This window comes from Homo sapiens, chromosome 1, assembly GCF_000001405.40.
Source record: "Homo sapiens chromosome 1, GRCh38.p14 Primary Assembly".
Classification (NCBI taxonomy): domain Eukaryota; kingdom Metazoa; phylum Chordata; class Mammalia; order Primates; family Hominidae; genus Homo; species Homo sapiens.
This window is the reverse complement of record NC_000001.11, coordinates 168,522,019-168,544,348: the sequence shown is the minus strand read 5'-3', so window position 1 is coordinate 168,544,348 and position 22,330 is coordinate 168,522,019. Positions and strand designations below refer to the sequence as shown.

General features: G+C 38.0%; 1 protein-coding gene and 1 pseudogene across 1 annotated transcript; one reads left to right on the top strand and one right to left on the bottom strand.

The window, feature by feature from the left end:
• Positions 1 to 351: 351 nt before the first annotated feature.
• XCL2 (X-C motif chemokine ligand 2) lies at positions 352 to 3,581 on the top strand. The gene is made up of 3 exons (NM_003175.4): positions 352 to 445; positions 2,242 to 2,356; positions 3,229 to 3,581. The coding sequence occupies exons 1-3, from the start codon at positions 385 to 387 to the stop codon at positions 3,395 to 3,397; spliced, it is 345 nt and encodes a 114-aa protein (NP_003166.1). The 5' UTR covers positions 352 to 384; the 3' UTR covers positions 3,398 to 3,581.
• RPL7AP19 (ribosomal protein L7a pseudogene 19) lies at positions 993 to 1,643 on the bottom strand (annotated as a pseudogene).
• Positions 3,582 to 22,330: the final 18,749 nt, after the last annotated feature.

Sequence of the window (22,330 nt, the reverse complement as noted above, 5' to 3'; positions counted from 1 at the left end):
CATTTCCTTTACAGCTTCCGTGGTGGGCCATGGCAGTGAACAGCCTTCAGGCATGTCTACGGTGGAAGATCTGAATTCAGGCTGGTGGCAGGAGACAACACAACCACGTTTTCTTTTATGCATGCATTTGGTTTAATTGACACATTAACCACAGACAAAGGGGTAAAGGCCACAAGGCGATAGGTTAGTATGAACAGGGAAAGGGACATTTTTTTTTTTTAAGAAAAATAAAAGCATCAGTATTGCAAAGACTTTCCATGATCCTATACCCACCTCGAAAGCCCCCTCTCACCACAGGAAGTGCACTGACCATTGGAGGCATAAAAGAGATCCTCAAAGAGCCCGATCCTCACTCTCCCTGCACAGCTCAGCGGGACCTCAGCCATGAGACTTCTCATCCTGGCCCTCCTTGGCATCTGCTCTCTCACTGCATACATTGTGGAAGGTAAGTGGAGAAGCTGTCTGTGAGATAAAGAATAGGGAGGCAAGGCAGGTGGGCACACATTTTGGGTTTGACTCGGGTTTTGACTGGACTAAACTGCTGTCTCCAGGGGAGCCTTAAACTTCCCATGTGCAAGAAAGGAATGATGATTTTGACTGTAGAGGGCTTCGTAAACTTCCAAAACAGGGAGAATTTGATTAGTATCTGGGCTCCTACTTTTCCTAATTGGGTAATTTCAGGTAAATTCCTTAACCACTCAGGGCCTGTGCTTATTTATGTATAAACTGAATAGAATAAGAGACATGATCACCTGAGATTAAGATTAAATAAATATTATGGTTTATTTAATAACATCAGATTTCCTTACAAGCAGTAATTTTTTGATTAATGTTAGCTATGGATTAGAGGTGATGATTATAAATGCATTTGTAGGTTTTGCCCATTTAATATATAGTTTGATAAATTATCAAAATCTTAGAGAGTTCAGTTACAATATGGGGATGCACCAGAGGATGTATGTTCTGGAGCAAATCAATGTTTTCAATACAAAACCTGTGTGAAGGCGACAGTAGTGCTTGCTGTGGACTGGATGTCCCAGTCTTGCCTTCCTTCCCCTTGATAATGCAATAAGGGACCCCCATTTTAGGACGCAGGACAGGCAGAAAGATAACCAGCTTGATGGGGTCCACACCATGTGCAATCACTACCAGCTGAGACTTCTTGTTTTCCAGCAAGGTGGTGATGATGTTAACCCCTGCTCAAAGAACAGGTGATTTCCTAGTGGGGACAACCCCTTTGCTAGCAGCTTTCTTCTCAGCCTGGGCCAACAGTCTCTGCTTCTTCTCTTGCTTTGTCTCTGGTCAGTACTTGTGGATCAGCTTAAGTGGCTGAGTAGCTGTTTGGGGGTCTAAGGCTTGGGTGAACTGGTTAATGGCAGAAGGCATTTTCAGCTGCTTATAGAGGATAGCTCTTTGCAGCTGGAACCAGATATAGCGGGGCCATTTCACAAAGCAGTGGAGGTCTCTTTTGGGCTGGATGTCCTGTCCAATGCCTGCCTAAGAAAACTCTTAGGCCTTTTCTCACACAGCGGTTTCATCACTTTCTTAGCCTCCTGCTTCCTCACGACGGCAGGGACTGGGCCACCTTCTTTCCTTTGGCCTTCTTTCTTTTCAGCATCTTAGGCAGCTGACAGAGAGGGAAATTTGACCATTTAAAAAGGGGAACACCTTTATTTACTCAGTCAAAAGCATGCTTCCTTCCCTCACTGAATGTTGCCTTGCCTAGAGTACTCTTCACGCATTACTCTGTCATCTCACTTATGGTACTGTAACATGTTGCACTATTTGAAATGATCTTTTCTGTTTGCCTGTCTGCTGCCTGGCTCCCTCATGAGAAGATATGCTCTATGAAAACAGGGATAATGTCTGTCTTAATAAAACATGTGGGACACAACAGGCACCATTGTATAAATGAATGAATGCGTGTCACTGGGGCATTTGCTAGCCGTCCCAAATGTCTAAGTGAAAATATACACAGAGACGGGATAACATCTTGTTATTTTCTCTCAGCATGAAATTCCTGAAACAATTCTGTTGATTGAGTTTTTAAATTAGTCAAATATTTACTAAGAATCTGTGACGGGCAAGAGATTCGGGATGCCTATCAGTCCTCTCTTCCCCCAAAAAGCAAATGGCCTTATATTCTCACAACATTCTCAGAGTAATTTAACAGACGATTGTTCCTGTGATCTGGGTAATTGCTTTATTTTTAATTGTCTGTTGTTTTTTTTTCCTCATCAGGTGTAGGGAGTGAAGTCTCACATAGGAGGACCTGTGTGAGCCTCACTACCCAGCGACTGCCAGTTAGCAGAATCAAGACCTACACCATCACGGAAGGCTCCTTGAGAGCAGTAATGTGAGTCTGCCTCCTCAGAAGTTGGGCTGGGTGGGTACCTAGAGGTATAGAAATACACTCTATAGAAATGCTGCCATCCTCAGGAAAAGTAGGTCAGCATAGAGGAACACCTCAACTTAACCAAAAACCTCTTTAGTTTTCCTTATCAACCATGTCTTTCTGCAGCCCAACCGAATAGCGATTATTGCAGAAATTGGGCTGCCAAAGAAAGAATAGAAGTCCTCCTCTATTTGTCTTAGTGGAAGAGTCTGTTGAATACTGTGCACAGCTCTGAGATCTGGGTTTAGAGATGGCTGGCTCATGTCAGGGTTTCCCTGCAAGCCTCACTGGAGTTGGGGGATCTTAGGGTTGAGTTAGGCAGAGTCCCATACTTTATCAGTTGCCATATTTCAAGAAAATGAGTCAATGCACAACCTACATGGTCCCTTTCTTCTACCAGAATCTCATTTTTAGAAGTAATAACTCTTCCCAATACATATTGCAAGCTTTGCTCTAAAGAATGAAAATGTAAAAATCACCTTTTTAAAAAAAATAAGATGAGTATTTTCAAATTTGAAAAGGAAGAGGTTATATAATAATGGAACTAGATGGCCTCAAATGTCTTTTTGTTACAACATTTGGTGACATGGATGAGAAAAGGAGCCTGTGAATTATGGTGAACAAAGGGGCTGGATACTACTTGCAGATATTTCTCCTTTATGTTAAAATAGATGGCAGAAGAAGGGTGCTCATTTATGATCTCATGGCTCTGAAAGACTATTTCTTGCAGTAATTTCTGCACAAGATCTCTTCATGTCTGCCCTGATCTTAACTCCTGACCCTGAGGCTTTGAGAACGTGGCTAACTTCATCTGTCTTTTCCTTGCGTTACAGTTTTATTACCAAACGTGGCCTAAAAGTCTGTGCTGATCCACAAGCCACGTGGGTGAGAGACGTGGTCAGGAGCATGGACAGGAAATCCAACACCAGAAATAACATGATCCAGACCAAGCCAACAGGAACCCAGCAATCGACCAATACAGCTGTGACCCTGACTGGCTAGTAGTCTCTGGCACCCTGTCCGTCTCCAGCCAGCCAGCTCATTTCACTTTACACCCTCATGGACTGAGATTATACTCACCTTTTATGAAAGCACTGCATGAATAAAATTATTCCTTTGTATTTTTACTTTTAAATGTCTTCTGTATTCACTTATATGTTCTAATTAATAAATTATTTATTATTAAGAATAGTTCCCTAGTCTATTCATTATATTTAGGGAAAGGTAGTGTATCATTGTTGTTTGATTTCTGACCTTGTACCTCTCTTTGATGGTAACCATAATGGAAGAGATTCTGGCTAGTGTCTATCAGAGGTGAAAGCTATATCGATCACTCTTAGAGTCCAGCTTGTAATGGTTCTTTACACATCAGTCACAAGTTACAGCTGTGACAATGGCAACAATTTGAGATCTATTTCAACTTGTCTCTATAATAGAATTCTATTTATAGAATAAGGGAGAACAAAATCCAGTCTGCATAAACATCTTCTTTTGAGAAGTGCCTGTTCATATCCTTTGCCAAATTTTGATGGGGTTGTTTGATTTTTTCTTGTAAATTTGTTTAAGTTCTTTGTAGATTCTGGATATTAGCCCTTTGTCAGATGGGTAGATTGTAAAAATGTTCTCCCATTCTGTAGGTTGCCTGTTCACTCTGATAGTAGTTTATTTTGGTGTGCAGAAGCTCTTTAGTTTAATTAGATCCCATTTGTCTATTTTGGCTTTTGTTGCCATTACTTTTGGTGTTTTAGTCATGAAGTCCTTGCCCTTGCGTATGTCCTGAATGGTATTGCCTAGGTTTTCTTCTAGGGTTTTTATGGTTTTACGTCTAACATTTAATTCTTTAATCCATCTTGAATTGATTTTTGTATAAGGTGTAAAGAATGGATCCCTCTTCAGTTTCTACATATGGCTAGCCAGTTTTCCCAGCACAATTTATTAAATAGGGAATCCTTTCCCCACTTCTTGTTTTTTTCAGGTTTGTCAAAGATGAGATGGTTGTAGATGTGTGGTATTATTTCTGAGGGCTCTGTTCTGTTCCATTGGTCTATATCTCTGTTTTGGTACTAGTGCCATGCTGTAGTATACTACAAGGTTACTGTAGCCTTGTAGTATAGTTTGAAGTCAGGTAGCTTCAACTACCTGATGCCTCCAGCTTTGTTCTTTTGGCTTAGGATTGTCTTGGCAATGCAGACTCTTTTTTGTCAGATCTGAAGGAGATAGAGACACAAATAACCCTTCAAAAAAAAATCAATAAATTCAGGAGCTGGTTTTTTGAAAAGATCAACAAAATTGATAGACTGCTAGCAAGACTAATAAAGAAGAAAAGAGAGAAGAATCAAATAGATGCAATAAAAAATGATAAAAGGGATATCATCACTGATCCCACAGAAATGCAAACTACCATCAGGTAATACTATAAATACCTCTATGCAAATAAACTAGAAAATCTAGGAGAAATGGATAAATTCCTGGACACATACACCCTCCCAAGACTAAACCAGGAAGAAGTTGCATCCCTGAATAGACCAATAACGGGCTCTGAAATGGACGCAATAATTAATAGCCTACCAACCAAAAAAAGTCCAGGACCAGACAGATTCACAGCCAAATTCTACCAGAGGTACAAAGAGGAGCTGGTACCACTCTTTCTGAAACTATTCCAATCAATAGAAAAGGAGGGAATCCTTCCTAACTCATTTTATGAGGCCAGCATCATCCTGATACCAAAGCCTGGCACAGACACAACAAACAAGAGAATTTTAGACCAATATCCCTGATGAACATCGATGCAAAAATCCTCAATAAAATACTGGCAAAACAAATCCAGCAGCACATCAAAAAGCTTATCCACCACGATCAGGTGGGCTTCATCCCTGGGATGCAAGGCTGGTTCAACATATGCAAATCAATAGAAGTAGTCCATCATATAAAGAGAACCAAAGAAAAAAACCACATGATTATCTCAATAGGTAAGGCCTTTGACAAAATTCAACAGCCCTTCATGCTAAAAACTCTCAATAAACTAGGTATTGATGTGACATATCTCAAAATAATGAGAGCTATTTATGACAAACCCACAGCCAATATCATACTGAATGGGCAAAAACTGGAAGCATTCCCTTTGAAAACTGGCACAAAACAGGGATGCCCTCTCTCACCACTCCTATTCAACATAGTGTTGGAAGTTCTGGCCAGGGCAATCAGGCTGGAGAAAGAAATAAAGGGCATTCAATTAGGAAAAGAGGAAGTCAAATTGTCCCTGTTTGCAGATGACATGCTTGTATATCTAGAAAACCCCATTGTCTCAGCCCAAAATCTCCTTAAGCTGATAAGCAACTTCAGCAAAGTCTCAGGATACAAAATCAATGGGCAAAAATCACAAGCATTCCTCTACACCAATAACAGACTAACAGAGAACCGAATCATGAGTGAACTCCCATTCACAATTGCTTCAAAGAGAATAAAATACCTAGGAATCCAACTTACAAGGGATGTGAAGGACCTCTTCAAGGAGAACTACAAACCGCTGCTCAATGAAATAAAAGAGGACACAAACAAATGGAAGAACATTCCATGCTCATGGATAGGAAGAATCAATATCATGAAAATGGACATACTGCCCAAGGAAATTTATAGATTCAATGCCATCCCCATCCAGCTACCAATGACTCTCTTCACAAAATTGGAAAAAACTACTTTAAAGTTCATATGGAACCAAAAAACAGCCCGCATTGCCAAGACAATCCTAAGCCAAAAGAACAAAGCTAAATGCTCCAATTAAAAGACACAGACTGACAAATTGGATAAAGAGTCAAGACCCATCAGTGTGCTGTATTCAGGAGACCCATCTCACATGCAGAGACACACATAGGATCAAAATAAAGGGATGGAGGAAGATCTACCAAGGAAATGGAAAACAAAAAAAAGCAGGGGTTGCAATCCTAGTCTCTGATAAAACAGACTTTAAACCAACAAAGATCAAAAGAGACAAAGAAGGCCATTACATAATGGTAAAGGGATCAATTCAACAAGAAGAGCCAACTATCCTAAATATATATGCCCCCAATCCAGGAGCACCCAGATTCATAAAGCAAGTCCTTAGAGATCTACAAAGAGACTTAGACTCCCACACAATAATAATGGGAGACTTTAACACCCCACTATTCAATGCAATTCCAGTTAAAATTTCCATAGAGTCTAATGTCAACATTAGACAGATCAACGAGACAGAAAGTTAATAAGGATATCCAGGAATTGAACTCAGCTCTGCACCAAGTAGACCTAATAGACATCTACAGAACTCTCCACCCCAAATCAACAGAATATACATTCCTCTCAGCACCACATCTCACTTATTCTAAAATTGACCACATAGTTGGAAGTAAAGCACTCCTCAGCAAATGTAGAAGAATAGAAATTATAACAAACTGTCTCTCAGACCACAGTGCAGTCAAACTAGAACTCAGGATTAAGAAACTCACTCAAAACTGCTCGACTACATGGAAACTGAACAACCTGCTCCTGAATGACTACTGGGTACTGGGTACATATCGAAATGAAGGCAGAAATAAAGATGTTCTTTGAAACCAATGAGAATGAAGACACAACATACCAGAATCTCTGGGACACATTTAAAGCAGTGTGTAGGGGGAAATTTATAACACTAAATGCCACAAGAGAAAGCAGGAAAGATCTAAAATTGACCCCCTAACTGCACAATTAAAAGAACTAGAGAAGCAAGAGCAAACACATTCAAAAGCTAGCAGAATGTGTTGTTATTAACTGAGGTGGGAAAATGCAGTAGTTGCTGGTTTTCGGGAGAATATTAGGGGCTCTGTTTTGGTCATGTTAAGTTTAGGTGCTTAGTAGACATCCATATGAAAATGTCAAGTAGTCAGATAGCTAGGTCAGGAATCCAGAGGACGTGTCTAAGCTGGAAATACTAATTTTGGAGTCATTAGCTTATATGTGGCACTTAAAGCCTTGATAATGGGCAAAGCATGTAGGTAGAGTTGATCAAAATATAAAATGTTCAAGGACTGAGCCTTGGACACAGATTGGGAAGATGAGGAGGAACCAGCAAGGAAAACTGGGAAGAAGTCAGAAAGATATGAGGAAACCCAATCTTGTGTGGTATCCTGGAAATCAAGGCAGGAGGATGTTTGCAGGAATAGAGTGAGCAACTTTGCCAAATGCTGTAAATAAGTCAGAAATTAGAACTTAAAAATAGTTGGATTTAACAGCATGGCTGTCACAGAATGACTATAAGGGGAAAAGCGTCAGTGGATTGGTAAGAGCAGAAACTTTTGAAGAAGGGTTGAGAAGGCCTGGGAGAAGAATTAATGACAACTCTTTAAAGAGAATAATTTTAGACGACAGTTGTCTCATAAGCATCACTATAGAGGCTTGGAGAGAAAAAGAAGCTTGCAGAGAAAAAGAACTACAGCTGAAGTGGAAGTGTAGTCAAGAGATGGTGTTTTGTTTGTTTATTTTGATTTTTACATGAGAGAAAAAATAACAAGTTTGTACACTAATGGGAATGATTCAGTGGAAAGTTTAACACTTAGTATAATATCCAGTGTATCAACTATATATATATATATGCTATTTTCTTAATAATTTGAATTCATAAATGCATGCCCCTAGAAACTGGTTATGTACTCCTGATTCTTTACATTTTCAATTTCATTATTTCCACTAGGCACTAATCGTATTAGCAATTTGATCTGCAGTTAAACTGTTTTCTGGTATGGATAAGAGAAAGAAATAATAAATAATACATTGTTAGAACCCATCATAATTATACATTTTTGATAAAAATATGATTTCATTAAGAGTTTTATAAACAGCCATTTGACACAAATTACCTGCCCTTACATTGTAACAGTTTTAAAAAATAACTGTTGATTTCAAAATTAAAATGAAACTTCCCCAGGCATAGACTGTCTTCCTCTTCTTTCAACTACTACTGATTAGTAATTTATTTAACCCTGGATGTTTATTCAAAGTTCCAGTGGCAGTAAAGTTGATTTATCCTAAAAGTCTGATATCTGTGGACCCTGATCCCCCCTAATGGGAGTGGTACATCAACTTTTTAGGTAATTCAAGAAGTAGCTCCTGCATTGGCAGTCCCTTTCACTGACTTCAGTATTATCACTTGCTCTTGGTGTTACCTTAACAGTTCCTTCAAGAGAATGTCTTCGACATTGTGGTTTCCTGCCCAACTGCAGCTTAACTTTATAATAAAACACCCTTCAACCCTTCCTTCCTGTTGCTTCTGCCCTTGCCCCAAGCCAAGAGTAGTGAAAACTCTGCTAAGTAATAACTATAGGATTTCTCTCTTAGCCTCTTGGCCTCTACTTTCATTCTGGATATTATAACTTAGGCCACAAAATCATTCACAATTCCCATTGCAAAGCTTTTTATCTCTTTTCTATTAAAAACTTAATATTGTATAAGCTTCTCTCCTACCAGATGCCTCAACTTTACTCTTTTGTAGTCTGTTTTAGTTTTTTGCTTATTGAGATTAACCTCACACATTTGATTTTTTTAATAGTTATGCATTTTGAAGAGAACAAGGAATAGCTTTAGACTGCAGTTGCCTCAGAAACCTCATTTAATGTTTGATAGGGCAAATATTTCTTCTCTGTTTTTTTATTGACAGGTACAGTCACATGCCCATGTGTTAGAGCATAACAAGTATAGCTTAAAATTGCTTATAATAGTCACTAACATTTGCTGAGCACTTATTCCATCTCCAGCACTCTGCTAAACGTTTGGCACACATTATCTTACTTGATTCTGTATTTTGCTACTGACAAAACTAAGAATTTGGGAAGGTTAAAGCATTTGTCCAGGGTTACACAGCTAATAAATAGTTGATTAGGGATTTGAATACAACTGATCTGACTCCAGTAGCCACCTACTTAACCACTCAGGAGAGAGTTTGCTTGCAGGATGATGTATAAGGGCAAAACTTGTCCAGCCAAGTCTCAAGGGCAGAGGAGAGAGATCTCTCCTAAAGAAAAGAAAGCCTTGGTAGCAAGGAGTTATAATACACTGGAAGTGTAACAGTCCCTTGAAGTTCCATTATTTATCTTAAAATTTGTGATGATTTTGCATTCTGCTTCATAATATATTTATATTGCTTTAATATAAAAGAAATATTTGGCTCTATTAAAGGACAAAAAAGATGCAAATATTTACGAACCAGATGACAAACATTGTAAGGATATCAGTTTTCCCCAAATCAATCTACTATTCAATGCAATTCCAGTTAAAATTTCCACAGAGTTTTTGGGCAAAACTTTCTAATACAATTTTTAAATTTATATGACACAAAGACATTCACAGATAGCTAAAACAAGTTAGGAAAAGAAAAACCAAGAGTAAATGTTTCCCCTATCAAATATTAAGACATAAGATAAAGCTGTGATAATAAAAAACACAGTAGTGTTAATTTAGAGATTAACAACGAGAACAATAGAAAGCTCAGAATCATGTTTATAAATTATGCATCTACATACACACACATACATATGTGTGTATGTATGTGTATATATAAACTATGATCAGATGAGAATAAGGTATATTATTCACAATATATTGCTGGAAGCTTTTGCTTATTTTACAGAGAAAAATAAAATAAGTTTCCTACCTCACACCATGTATAAAAATAGACTTCTGATACATTAAATGCAAGAAGAAAGAAAAGAAGGGAAGGGGGAAGGGAAAAGAAGGAAAGAGGAAGGAAAGGAAGGCAGAAGGGGAAAGAAGGAAGGAGGGAAGGAAAGAAGGAAGGAAGGGAAACAAGGAAGACATAGGAGAATATCTTTATTACACCTGGGTGAGGGAAAGATTCCATAACTATATTCCCAAAGAATAACTCACAAAGAAAAATAATCTGATATATTTTCCTATTTCAAAATTACAGATAAACACAGAGTTGCTGTCTATCTCATTGCCTTATTCATTTTCTTCATAGTGTTTATCGCTTTACGATACTGACTAGTTTACTCATTTGATTTGGGGTCTTGTGCTCATTTAAAGGTATGCTTCAGGAGGGCAGGTACTTTGCCTATTGTGTTTACCACTGTAGACACAGCGCCAGAACTGTGTCTGGCATAATATGTGGGCAATAAATGGGTCCTTTGTACATTGTCTTAAGGATTTTTTAAATATTCCTGAATTTTATAGATCCCACCGCTATCTGGGATTCCCTTTCCTTACCATTTTGCAGGTTCTACTGAAACTTCCTCTAACATAACTCATAAAGGGTATCTACAAAACTGCTTATTAGAGAAATTTCAGGTTCTACCATGCCTGAAACTCTGATTGAATCCCTATAGGCAACAGTAGGACTATTATGACAATGTCTCTTGAATGCGTCATGTAGGGTTGATCCTTTTAGAGAGACAATACCTTTAGGATATAACTAAAACCAAAGAATTGAAAATAGAAGAAAGCATATTTCAGCATAACTCTATAAATTATTTTATCCCATTGCAATTGTCCAGAAAGGAAGCAGGTTGACTTGAGAAGCAGTAAATTATGCATCACTGAATGTGTTTGGGCAGAGTCTGGAGGACCACTTACCAGAAGAGAGAAAAGGTGAGAAGAAATGTTCTCCAAGGTTCCTTCCATCCTCGAGCTCTAAAATCCTTAACCAGTTTTTTCTTATACCCACCTCCTCTCCACAGGACTCTTCCCTTCCCCCTATCAGGAATATTGAAGCAGCATGATGCCAAAAGCAGTTATAAACACTATAAATAATTATTACTCTCAACACTTGATGAGTGACACCAAAAATTAAAGGAAGCTTGCACCGTAAAGCAAGCACATTGCAGGGTATTTATTTTTTGGCTCTGGAATACAAAGACACATAGTCAGAGACACACATTCATCTTCCATTCTTAGTGTCCCATGCTCGCCCCCACTAAGGGAGAAGCTCAGGTGAACATCATGCAAATACTCCACGGTGTGGGCTGAAATTCATAGACAGAAGGGTCAGCACGGAATAAGGCATGCAGCCTCCCGTCTCTTGAAACTCTGTGGAGATGCTTGGTCATGCACAACTGAACACATTAAGAGTTTTGCTCTAGTTTTTCTCTGTCTACAAGAGAGGTCCTACTCCCTGTTGCTCTTCTTTTTTAAAAAATAAGGATCCCATGAGAGTGGCCTTAGAAGTAGGAGGCAAAAGTTCTGAGAATGGGTACCAGATGCTCAGGAGTTGCATTCCCATACTGATAGCACCTAGGGATCTTGTGGGAAGCTGAGGCTGCATCTGGGGCCTCTCCACCTGGCAGGAGTCCCCCAACCCCATCCCTCTACTCCGCACCTCCCACCTACCCTCCCAACCCTGGCTCGAAAGCTCATTGCCAGGAATCCCCAAGAGGGCCTCAGGACCCTGTGATAGACAATCCCACTCATCTCCCCACCCTGCTCTCTGCCTCCCCACCCCAGTCAGCTCTCTGACTTACGCTATAGAGCCTAGTGATGCTTACACTATAGAACTCTCTGGCACTATGGGCACTTGCACATCCCTTACCTTATTTGATCCTCCTAAGAGCCTTGTAAGGGAAAACAGCAGGTATGATCGTGTCCATTGTATTCATGAACAGACTGAGATGCAGACAGGATAAAGTGACTGGCCTAAGTCATCCAACTATGTGGCAAAGCCAGGACTTGAGGTAGGCCATCAGAACCCACATCTCATGCATTCACCTCCAAAATATATACTTCATCAAGTTGCCAGACAATGATGCCATCCATGTCAGACAGAGCAACTGTAAAAGGAATGGTTATCCATGCCTCATTAGCTCTGGAAAGAAGGGCAGCATGCCAGAATTCTCTGAAACCTGAAGAAGTAAGAACATGCTCCCACCAGAGAGCAATTCCCACCAGAACAGCTCACCTTGAGATGTGTCACCTTCACACGTAAGCACTGCCTAAGACCAATTATTGGCCATCTGGGGAAATAACACACAACAGGTTCAGAGTAAGACTAAGATAATTAGATTACCCCCTCCGCTTTCCCTAGATTACAGGGTAATGAGTATATCAGAAGAGAAAGTGATTTTTCTCAATCTTTGCTGGTGGATTACATGTGAAAGTACAATCACAGCAACCACAGTTCCTGCACCTAACTCAGAAGTGGGACAGGATATAGAGACATCAGAGAGAAGAGAGAATGACTACTTAAGTGGAGCTCTTCAGAGGTGACACAGGTGAAATATGCCCTGGTTGCCCAATATTCTCCTTGCTTCACAAGGAGAAGGTAAGATTAGCCATCCAGTTTTAGTGGCAGATGCCTGTGTTTGAATTAGGAAACTGTCTTGATATTACTTGACTTGTATCAATGGCCTGGGGCCTGCACTCATTCTGCCACTAACTGGCTGTGTGGTGATAAATATAGTAAAATCAAAAGGACACTGGATTAGGAGTTAGGAGACCTGGGTGACTGTGACCCCTGGAAAAGTTGCTTCTCCTCTCAGGGCACTGATTTCTTCATCTATGAAATGAGGGAGTTAAACATAATGATCTCCAACTTTCCGTTAAGTTCTGAAATTCAAAGTCATTTTCTACACATGGAAAATTAGATGGCTAAACTTGTTTTCTAAAAAATCCTTTTTGGTCTTAACATTTTAAAGTTTCATAAATATATTTTCTCAGTCATTTCTTTCTTGGGATAAACATGTGGTCCCTAGTATTCCAAATGATACCTCTGCAGTAAACATATGCTCTGCGGATTGTACTGAATTAGGAAATTGTTGTGGTCAGTAGGGCCACCCACTAGTTCATATGCCATCTTCATGCAAATTATAAAAAGGCATCCCCTCTGGCCAGACAACTTGGAAAAGTGTGTCTTTCTGTGCAGAAGGAGTCACATAGAGGGCTAAAAGAGCAGAGCTTAGGCTGAATTTCAGCTTCCTCCTGCCTCCTCAGCTGGATACCCTTATACAATGTACAAACTGCTCAACTAAACACAGCAGCCCTAATAGAGTATAAAATACTGAAGACTTCTGTTTCAAGCCATACTCAAACTTTCTGAGGAAAATGATGAAAAGTTATAGCTGGCAGCATTCTATGTTCTCTGAGCTGGGCATAGACTGTGCTGAGGACTGAATGGTTGCAATGCTGATTTTATTATTGATGCCCTAAAGGATGAACAGAGCACCATCAATCATCACTCTGGCAAAAAGAAAAATCAGAATGCAATCTCCAATAGTCCATGATTAAAACATTAATCTGATTAACCTACAGAAGAAATAAGTTACTCTATACACTAAGCTTCCTTTCAAATAGATTTTAAGCTCCTTGGAACAGTGGTTTCTTGTTCACTTTTATACCTCCAGAATAGACTACAGTGCCAGGCATGATATAGGTGTTCAATAAACAACTACTGACTGAACTCACCATATGAAGTTGATTGATTCAAATACCCCAAGAATGGATATTTGGGTCACACAAATGAAACATGATGAAGTTAAAGTAGAATTAGGAAAAGTCAGCCTAGAGCACTGGTTCTCAATCTTTTTAAAAAAAAAATCACCGGGTGATCCTGACACGTCTCCCTACTCTGCACCCCCCTCCTCCACCACTTGAGAACCCTTAAAGGGTTAAGATTTTCTACACACCAATTCTGAAGGTCCTCCTTGCAGCTTACACAAACCTAAACAGAGAACAGAGGAATGATTCTTCTCAATCTTGAGGGGCAAGTTTCCTTGTTAGATTTATGCCCCATCCCCCGACCCCCCACCACTCCGATTGAGGACTTTGATGACAACATGTACAGCAATAAGGCCTTTTGGGGATTTGTATTGTCACCAATAGTTATTTATTGGTTCATGTCATCAGTTGAGGAGAAAGTAAATTTGATAATAGTGTCTTTCTTTACATATTTTTTAAAACACAGAAAATGTTTTCAATTTGAAGAAAAATACAGAGAATAAAATAGCAAATATCAATGTACTTTCTACTCAGAATTAGCAATTGACACTGTGCCTTATTTGCTTCAGATATTTTGTAAAGTAATACAAGATCTACATCCTTTAGGATCTACATCCCCCATCCTATTTCCTGTCCTCCCTGGGCAGAGGCAAGCACTATCCAGCAGTTGATGGATGTTTTTATTGTTTGTGTTTTATGTTTTGCTCCTAATGGCATGGTATCAGAATTCTTATTTCCCCTGTCCTCCCAAAACTTGATATTGCTAGTCTTATGTTTTTGCCAATCTGATCATTGTGAAATAGTGTCTCATTGTTTTCACTTGCATTTCCCTAATTACTAGGAAGTTTGAGCATTTTTCATATATTTGGGTTGGCCATTCAAACTTCCTTTTCAGTGAATGGTCCTTTCGTATGTTTTGTCCATTTTCCCACTAGGTTGTTAGATTTTTCTTATTGATGTTTAATAATTCTTTAATATTCTGGATACAAATCCTATAGATTTTTTTTTTTTTGAGACAGAGTCTCACTCTATTGCCCAGGCTGGAGTGCAGTGACTCGATCTCAGCTCACTGCAACCTCTGCCTCCTGGGTTCAAACAATTCTCCTGCCTCAGCCTCCTGAGTAGCTGGGACTACAGGCACATGCCACCACCCCCAGCTAATTTTTGTATTTTTAGTGGAGACAGGGTTTCACCATGTTGGTCAGGCTGGTCTCAAACTTCCGACCTCAGATTATCCTCCCACCTCAGTCTTTCAAAGTGCTGGGATTACAGGCATGAGCCACCAAGCCCGGCCTATTTTCTTAGTTATATGGAAGTAATGGAGAAGTTTTAAATTGAAGTTTTCAAACTATTTGATGTTTTTCTTTGTCATTTATCATTGTGTAACATAAAAGTATAACATCAAAGTATTATATTTTGATTGAAAGGTTTTTCATATTTAGCCACTTTATCTGGAATTTTTTTTGAAGTATAGTATGAAGTAAGGATCTATTTTTATATTTTTCAGTATGGAAAGGTAGTTTTCTCTATACATTTATAGCTAATCCAGTATTTTTCAGACTCTATATTTGTAATATATTAATGGGGCTTTTTTTAAATTAGTGGATTGTAACTACCATTTTTTAAAAAACTAAATTATATAGAAAATATTAGACTACATTTCATATAGTAAAGGTAAACAGTGTTTACAGAACACATACACACATATGCTTTGGTTGAGTACTGAAACATAAAATAAAATATATTTTTTTCTGTGGGTTATGACTGAAAACGTTTAGAGTACACTAAAAAATGTCAATTATTTCTCCCATTTATTTGTTACAACATTTCTATGATATATCATGGTCTTATATGTGATTAGGTTTGCTTCTGACCTATCTATTCAATTCTGTGGACTTTATTTAATATAGTGCTATTATCATGGTATTTTATTTGTATGGCCTGTTAACATCTTCTTCATGTTATCCTTTAAACTAGTCTTGATTTCTTGACTATCTTTCCATGTGAATTTTAGATACTCTTTGCCTAAATAAAACAAAACTTTTATATTTTGATTAAAGCTGTTTTGAATATATTCATTAGTTTGAGGAGAATAGACGTATTTATAATATTAAATCTTGGTCTAACTTTCCTTGATTTGGGTTTATTTTTACATCCTCCAATATTTTCTGTGTGGGTTTTGTTCACGTTTAGGTATATATTTAACGAACACTTATATGTACCAAGCCACTATTCTAAGCACTTCATAAATCATTAATTCATTTAAGACTCACAACAATCTTATGAAATATAACAATTATTTTCCCCCATTCTATTGTCATGTTACAAATAAGGAAACTTAAGCACAGAGAGGTTAACTAATTTTCTTAAGGTCACACATCTGGAAAGTATAACAATCAGAATTTGAATCCAGGCAACTCGGTCCCAGAGTTCTTGTGCTCATCCAATACGGCATGCCGTCTCTCCAAACATTTTGTCAGATTTATTTCTAAGTACCTCATTGCTTTAATGAAAACAATAGCCAAATTGATCGGGATGTTTATCTCTGTGGTCAATTTTTATAATAATTCTATAAATAAATATTTCTTATGTGTTGAGTGTAAATTTTAATATATGAGATCAAGGTTGTTACTTGCACTGATATATTTTATACATGTATTTCTTCGCAATGTTTTATCTGCGTGATCTGGAAAAGATGTGTTGAAATTCCTTACTATGATTCTGGATTTGTCAATTTCTCCATATAATGCTCGTGTGTGTGTGTGTGTGTGTGTGTGTGTGTGTGTGTGCACGCGTGCATGCGCACACGCATGCACGTGCATACCAATTTTATTAGATGCATATGGGTTCACAGCTGTTACATGTTTAGACACTTTTCCCACCACTTTTCATGCAGTAAAATCACTTTGTATACCTTTAACTATTTCTTTCCTCAAATTCAGTTTTGTTTGATAGTCAAAATACAGTGATGTTTTAAAATGTGGACTTTGAAGACAAATGGCGTGGCTTGGATTCCAGCTTGGCACTTGCCAACTACATGACCTTAGCACTAACCACAGTGCCTGGCTCTAGAAATGTTGGTTGTTGCTAGACTGCTATTGTTTTCTAGACTTTTATTTGCTAGGTTACTGGCACGTCTTTTCCAATCTTTGTCTTTCAACTTATTTTTATCATTACGTTTTTAAAAGTGTGTTTGTAAGTAGCAAATAGCTGAATTTTTAATCTACTCTTTTAATAGATAGGGTTACTCTATTTATATTGTGATTATTGACAAACATTTTTTATATCAAGAGCTGACAAATTATGGCCCATGGGAAAAATGTAGCCCAGCGTGTGCTGTTGTATATAATATTTTAGTGAAACATAGCCACTCTCAGCCATCTAGGATGGTTGCTTTTATCCTTCAACCAGTAAAGCTGAATCGTTGCAATAAGGATATTACCTACAAAGCCAAAATAATTTATTATTTGGCCTTTTACAAAAAAGCTTGCTGACCCCAGATTTACACCATCTTACTTTTTCTTTTAGACATGATTTCTTCTATTTTTTCCCCCTTGTCCCATATTCATTGGGTGAATCAAGTCATATTTACTGTCTTAGTTTCCCTCTACTAATTTAAAGGTTATACATTCTATTTCTAGTCTTTTAGTGGTCATTCTTACGTTTTAACATGAATATTTTTGTTTTTAAAATTACTTTATTGAGATGTAACATACAATAACTTGCACATAAAGTGTACAATTTGATAGATTTTGACATATATATATATATACCCATGAAGTTAAAATCAAGAAAATAAACATATCCATCACTCCCAAAAGTTTTCTCATGCATAACCCTCCTTCTCATCCTTCCCTGCCCCCACGTCCCCAAACTACAAATGATTTGCTTTCTGCAAGTATAGATTAGTTTGCATTTCCTAGAGTTTAGTATAAATTGACTCATACCTTATACACTCTTGTTTCTGACTTTTTTCACTCAGGTGTTTTGTTTGTTTGTTTGTTTGTTTTGAAACGGAGTCTCGCTCTGTCGCCCAGGCTGGAGTGCAGCGGCGCGATCTCGGCTCACTGCAAGCTCCACCTCCCAGATTCACGCCATTCTCCTGCCTCAGCCTCCCGAGTAGCTGGGACTACAGGTGCCCGCCACCACGCCTAGCTAATTTTTTTTTTTTTTTTTTTTTTTTTTTGTATTTTTAGTAGAGACGGGTTTCACCATGTTAGCCAGGATGGTCTCGATCTCCTGACCTCGTGATCCGCCCACCTTGGCCTCCCAAATTGCTGGGATTACAGGTGTGAGCCACCAAACTGGGCCCACTTGATATTATTATGAGCATGGAATTGTTGCATGTATTTGTAGTTCATTTCTTTTTTTTTTTATTTTAGTATATATTGCCATAACAACAAATAAGGACATTTTCACCCAACCACAATCATACTGTTACCCATAACAAAATTAATAGTAATTTCTTAACATTATTGAATACAAAAGTCTTTATTCAAATTCCCCTATTAGTAATCAAAATGTTTCTGCAGGTTGTTTTCCTTTTTTTTTTTTATCTTTTAAATTTTACTTTAAGTTCTGGGATACATGTGCTGAACGTGAAGGTTTGTTACATAGTATACATGTGCCATGGTTTGCTGCACCTATCAACATGCCATCTAGGTTTTAAGCTACGCATGCCTTAGATGTTTGTCCTAATGCTCTCGGTCTCCTTTACCCCCACTTCCCGACAGACCCTGGTGTGTGATGTTCCCCTCCCTGCGTCCATGTTTTCTCATTGTTAGTTCATTTCTTTTTATTGCTTAGTAATATTCTGTTGTATGGATAAACCACAATTATTTAACCACTCATCTGTTGATGGAAATCTGTGTATTTTCCACTTTGAGACTATTAAAAATAAAGCTGCTATAAATATACAGGTATTGATATTGACATATTTTCTTTTTCTCTTGGGCAAAAACCTAGAAGTGGAATCACTGAATTATATTGTGGGTGCATGTTTAACTTTTTAAAAATTGTCTGTTTTCCAAAGTCGTACCATTTATATTACCACCATCAATGTGTCGGAGTTCCAGTTTTTCTACATTCCTGTCAAGACTTGATGTGGTCAGTCTTTTTAATTTTAGCCACTTATTAGGTAGGTAGTGGTATTTCATTGTGGTATCAATTTGCATTTTCTTAATAGCTACTGATCACACCCCTTTTCATGTGCTTATTTGTCATCGTTATGTCTTCCTTAGTGAAGTAGCTGTTTAAATCTTTTACCCATTGAGGGAGAGAGACACTTGTTTTGTTTATTTGTTTTATTCAACAAGCATATTGGCTTAAGAAAATCTACATATTAGTGAATCCTCTATAGTCCTCCCTGCTAAGACAAGAATTTTAGAACTTTTACTTCTAGTCTTAAAAGTTCCATCTTCTGTGCCATCACAGTATAATATTTTAGTTCTACCTAGTTTTTAACCATTTGTCTTAAAAATAATTAATCCCTTTTGTACATCTGTACTTAATTTGGAATTACCTGCATAACACCAGTTTTTTAGCCTCAGTTGTTCCTAACATCCCAATCCCTCCTTCAGGTTTAATTTTTTTTCTCCAGGAGTAATATTTATTAGTTCTTTCACTGAAGTAACTAGGAAATTAAGTTTTTGTATCTCTGAAAATGTCACTATTTGCCTCACATTTGTATGCTTATGTAACCGTGTGACTCCAGGTTGACATAAACATTTTATTCTCATTTTGAAGACATCTTTTTATAATATTGATATAGTTTGGATGTTTGTACCTGCCCAAATCTCAGTTGAATTGTAATCCCCAATGCCAAAGGTGGGCCTGGTTGGAGATGTGTGGATCATGTGGGCAGATCCCTCATGGCTTGGTGCTGTCTTCATGATAGTGAATTCTGGTGAGATCTCATTGTTTAAATGTGTGTGGCACCTCTCCCCACAAACACTCTCTCACAAACTCTCTCTCTCTCTCTCTCTCTCTCTCTCCATTCTTGCCACATTATGTGCCTGCTCCCCCTTTGCCTTCTGCCATGATTGGAAGCTTCCTGAGGCCCCCCTTAGAAGCAGATGCCACTGTGCTTCCTGAACAGCCTGCCAATTAGATCTCTTTTCTTATAAATTTCCCAGCCTCAGGTATTTCTTTATAGTGCTTCAAGAATTACCTAATACAGATATCAACTAGTGTTTATTGTTTTTATAAAAAATCGTTGCTTGTGAAATTTTTTGTTATTTTCTAAGAAATGTATCTTTTCTTTCTAGTAGCTTTTAAGAATTTTCCCTCTGTCTTTGATGTTTTCCACTTCTACTACAATATGTCTGGGTGTAGAAATTTTTAAATTCATTCTGCTTGGAACTGAATGCATTTCTTCAATCTGAAAACTCATCTCTCATCAGTTTTGTTAAATTCTCAGCCATCATCACTGATATTTCTTCTCCTTTATTGCATCTAGTCTCTCTGTCTGGAGCTCCTATTAGAAATATGTTGGACCTTCTCATTCTATCTTCCATCTTTCTTAACCTCTCTTCTACATTTTCCACATTTTCCTTACCTGTTCTGTATTCTAACTAATTTCTTCAGAGCTAAATTCCTATTTGCCTATTTTCTTTTCAAATATGTCTAGTTAATGTTTAATCTGTCTGTTGAGGTTTCTTTAAATTATCATTCTCAATATGTTTGTTTAGCTCTTTCTAATTTTTTTCTTTATATCCTTTACTTCATTTTTTTTAAATTTTTTTTCTTTTTTTTAGACAGGGTCTTGCTCTGCCATTCAGGCTGGAACACATTGGTGCAATCTTGGCTCACTGTAACCTCCACCTCCCAGGCTCAAGTGATTCTCCTGCTTCAGCCTTCTGAGTAGCTGGGACTACAGGGCACACCACCATGCCCAGCTAATTTTTTGTATTTTTAGTAGAGACAAGGTTTCACCATGTTGGCCAGGCTGGTCTCAAACTCCTGACCTCAGGTGATCTGCCCGCCTCGACCTCCCAAAGTGCTGGGATTACAGGCATGAGTCACCACGCCCAGCCCATTTACTTTAATATTTTAACTGTTGTTATTTTAAAAATAACTCCCTGCAGACTTCTCTATTTTCTATGTTCTGTATTTCCTCGCATTTTGTTTTCTCATTTACTGGGTTTGTCATCTCTTCCTCTCTCTCTCTCTCTCTCTCTCTCTCTCTCTGTTTCTCTCTCCCTGTTGGTCATGGGGTTCTATCTATATTGTGTACTTTATGTAAGTAAGTGAACTTTCTGACTTATGCTTTCTTCTGAAGGAGCGCCCTCTCTTGCTGTCTGTGGTAAAGAGGTCCTCATGGAACAGTGTCACATTGGCCTTTGCTGGTATCCCACTAGTTTCACTATTTTTTGATTTGTGGAGATTTTTTGTTGTTGTTACTGTTGGTTTCTTTGCTTACAGTTTCAACACCATACAGGTAGTATAAATTAGGTTTGTATACCTTCTCCCAACAGAGGTTTAACGTTTTGATTTTTCTTAGGTCACCCTTTTTCAATACACTTCCCAAAATATGTGACCCACTGGCACGCTTGTTCCAGACTGTCAAACAGATATTTTCCAGTCTATTTTGTGGATGGGGCATTTGCTCTGTCTGGCTTTGTGCAAAGAGGTCATTTTCAACTTCTCACTTTATAGGAGGCTGAGACCTCCTGCTGTCTCTCCACCCATGAAAATCACAGCCCTCACCCCACTTGTAAGGTCTACACCTGCTTCTCTGGGTGCTGTGCCCTATTCAGCTCCAGCTCCTGCACACTGTTCAGTCTTTAAGTTCACTCTCTATTCTAGCACCTCCAGATTTCCTTTCCCTAGTTTTGAATCCAGAAATTAATTACTTCACATTGTATCGTATTATCTTATATTTTACTCAGCACTTCAATGTACTTGAAATGGAGGGGATCTGTATACATCAGTTTCATTTGCTGTATTGACTGGAAGTGATCTACACATTTGTTCTTAAATTTAATGTATACATAAATCCTTAACTTTATTATTTTATTTTTGTTATTTAAAAATAGTCTTATAAAATGGATAGAATTAATGTTAGTCCATGTCTACAAAATAACTATGTGAATATTGCTTATGATGTGGGTCCTCTCTCTGATTACCAGATTAGAGTCACCTGCTGTTTCAAGTTATTAATAGATGAGTTTTATTTTTTTCATACTTTGTTTCTTATGAAATCTCTTCAGAATCTAAGAATTTAAAGATCCAGATTCAGAGTATTTGTTAATTCCAAACGTTTTCTCAAGGTTAGAGTTAGCTTATGGCACATATAAAATGTGATTCAATTTATATAATATTCAAAATTAAATTTGCACATAGACTTCTCTCATAAGTAGAGAGTACCTTGATTTGATGAAGGCCACTGGTTCTGGTTTCAAGAGACAAGACCTTGGCTTGTGTATAGATTCACTGCTACACACATACTTACAAGGTTTTCTGTGGTCAAGGAACTCCTTGAGTCCT

Bases quoted from the DNA above. Each gene is read 5' to 3' on its own strand.
- XCL2 (NM_003175.4), top strand. From the start codon at position 385: ATGAGACTTCTCATCCTGGCCCTCCTTGGCATCTGCTCTCTCACTGCA. The intron at 446-2,241 runs GTAAGTGGAGAA...TTTCCTCATCAG, and splicing joins CACTGCATACATTGTGGAAG to GTGTAGGGAGTGAAGTCTCA. The intron at 2,357-3,228 runs GTGAGTCTGCCT...CTTGCGTTACAG, and splicing joins GGCTCCTTGAGAGCAGTAAT to TTTTATTACCAAACGTGGCC.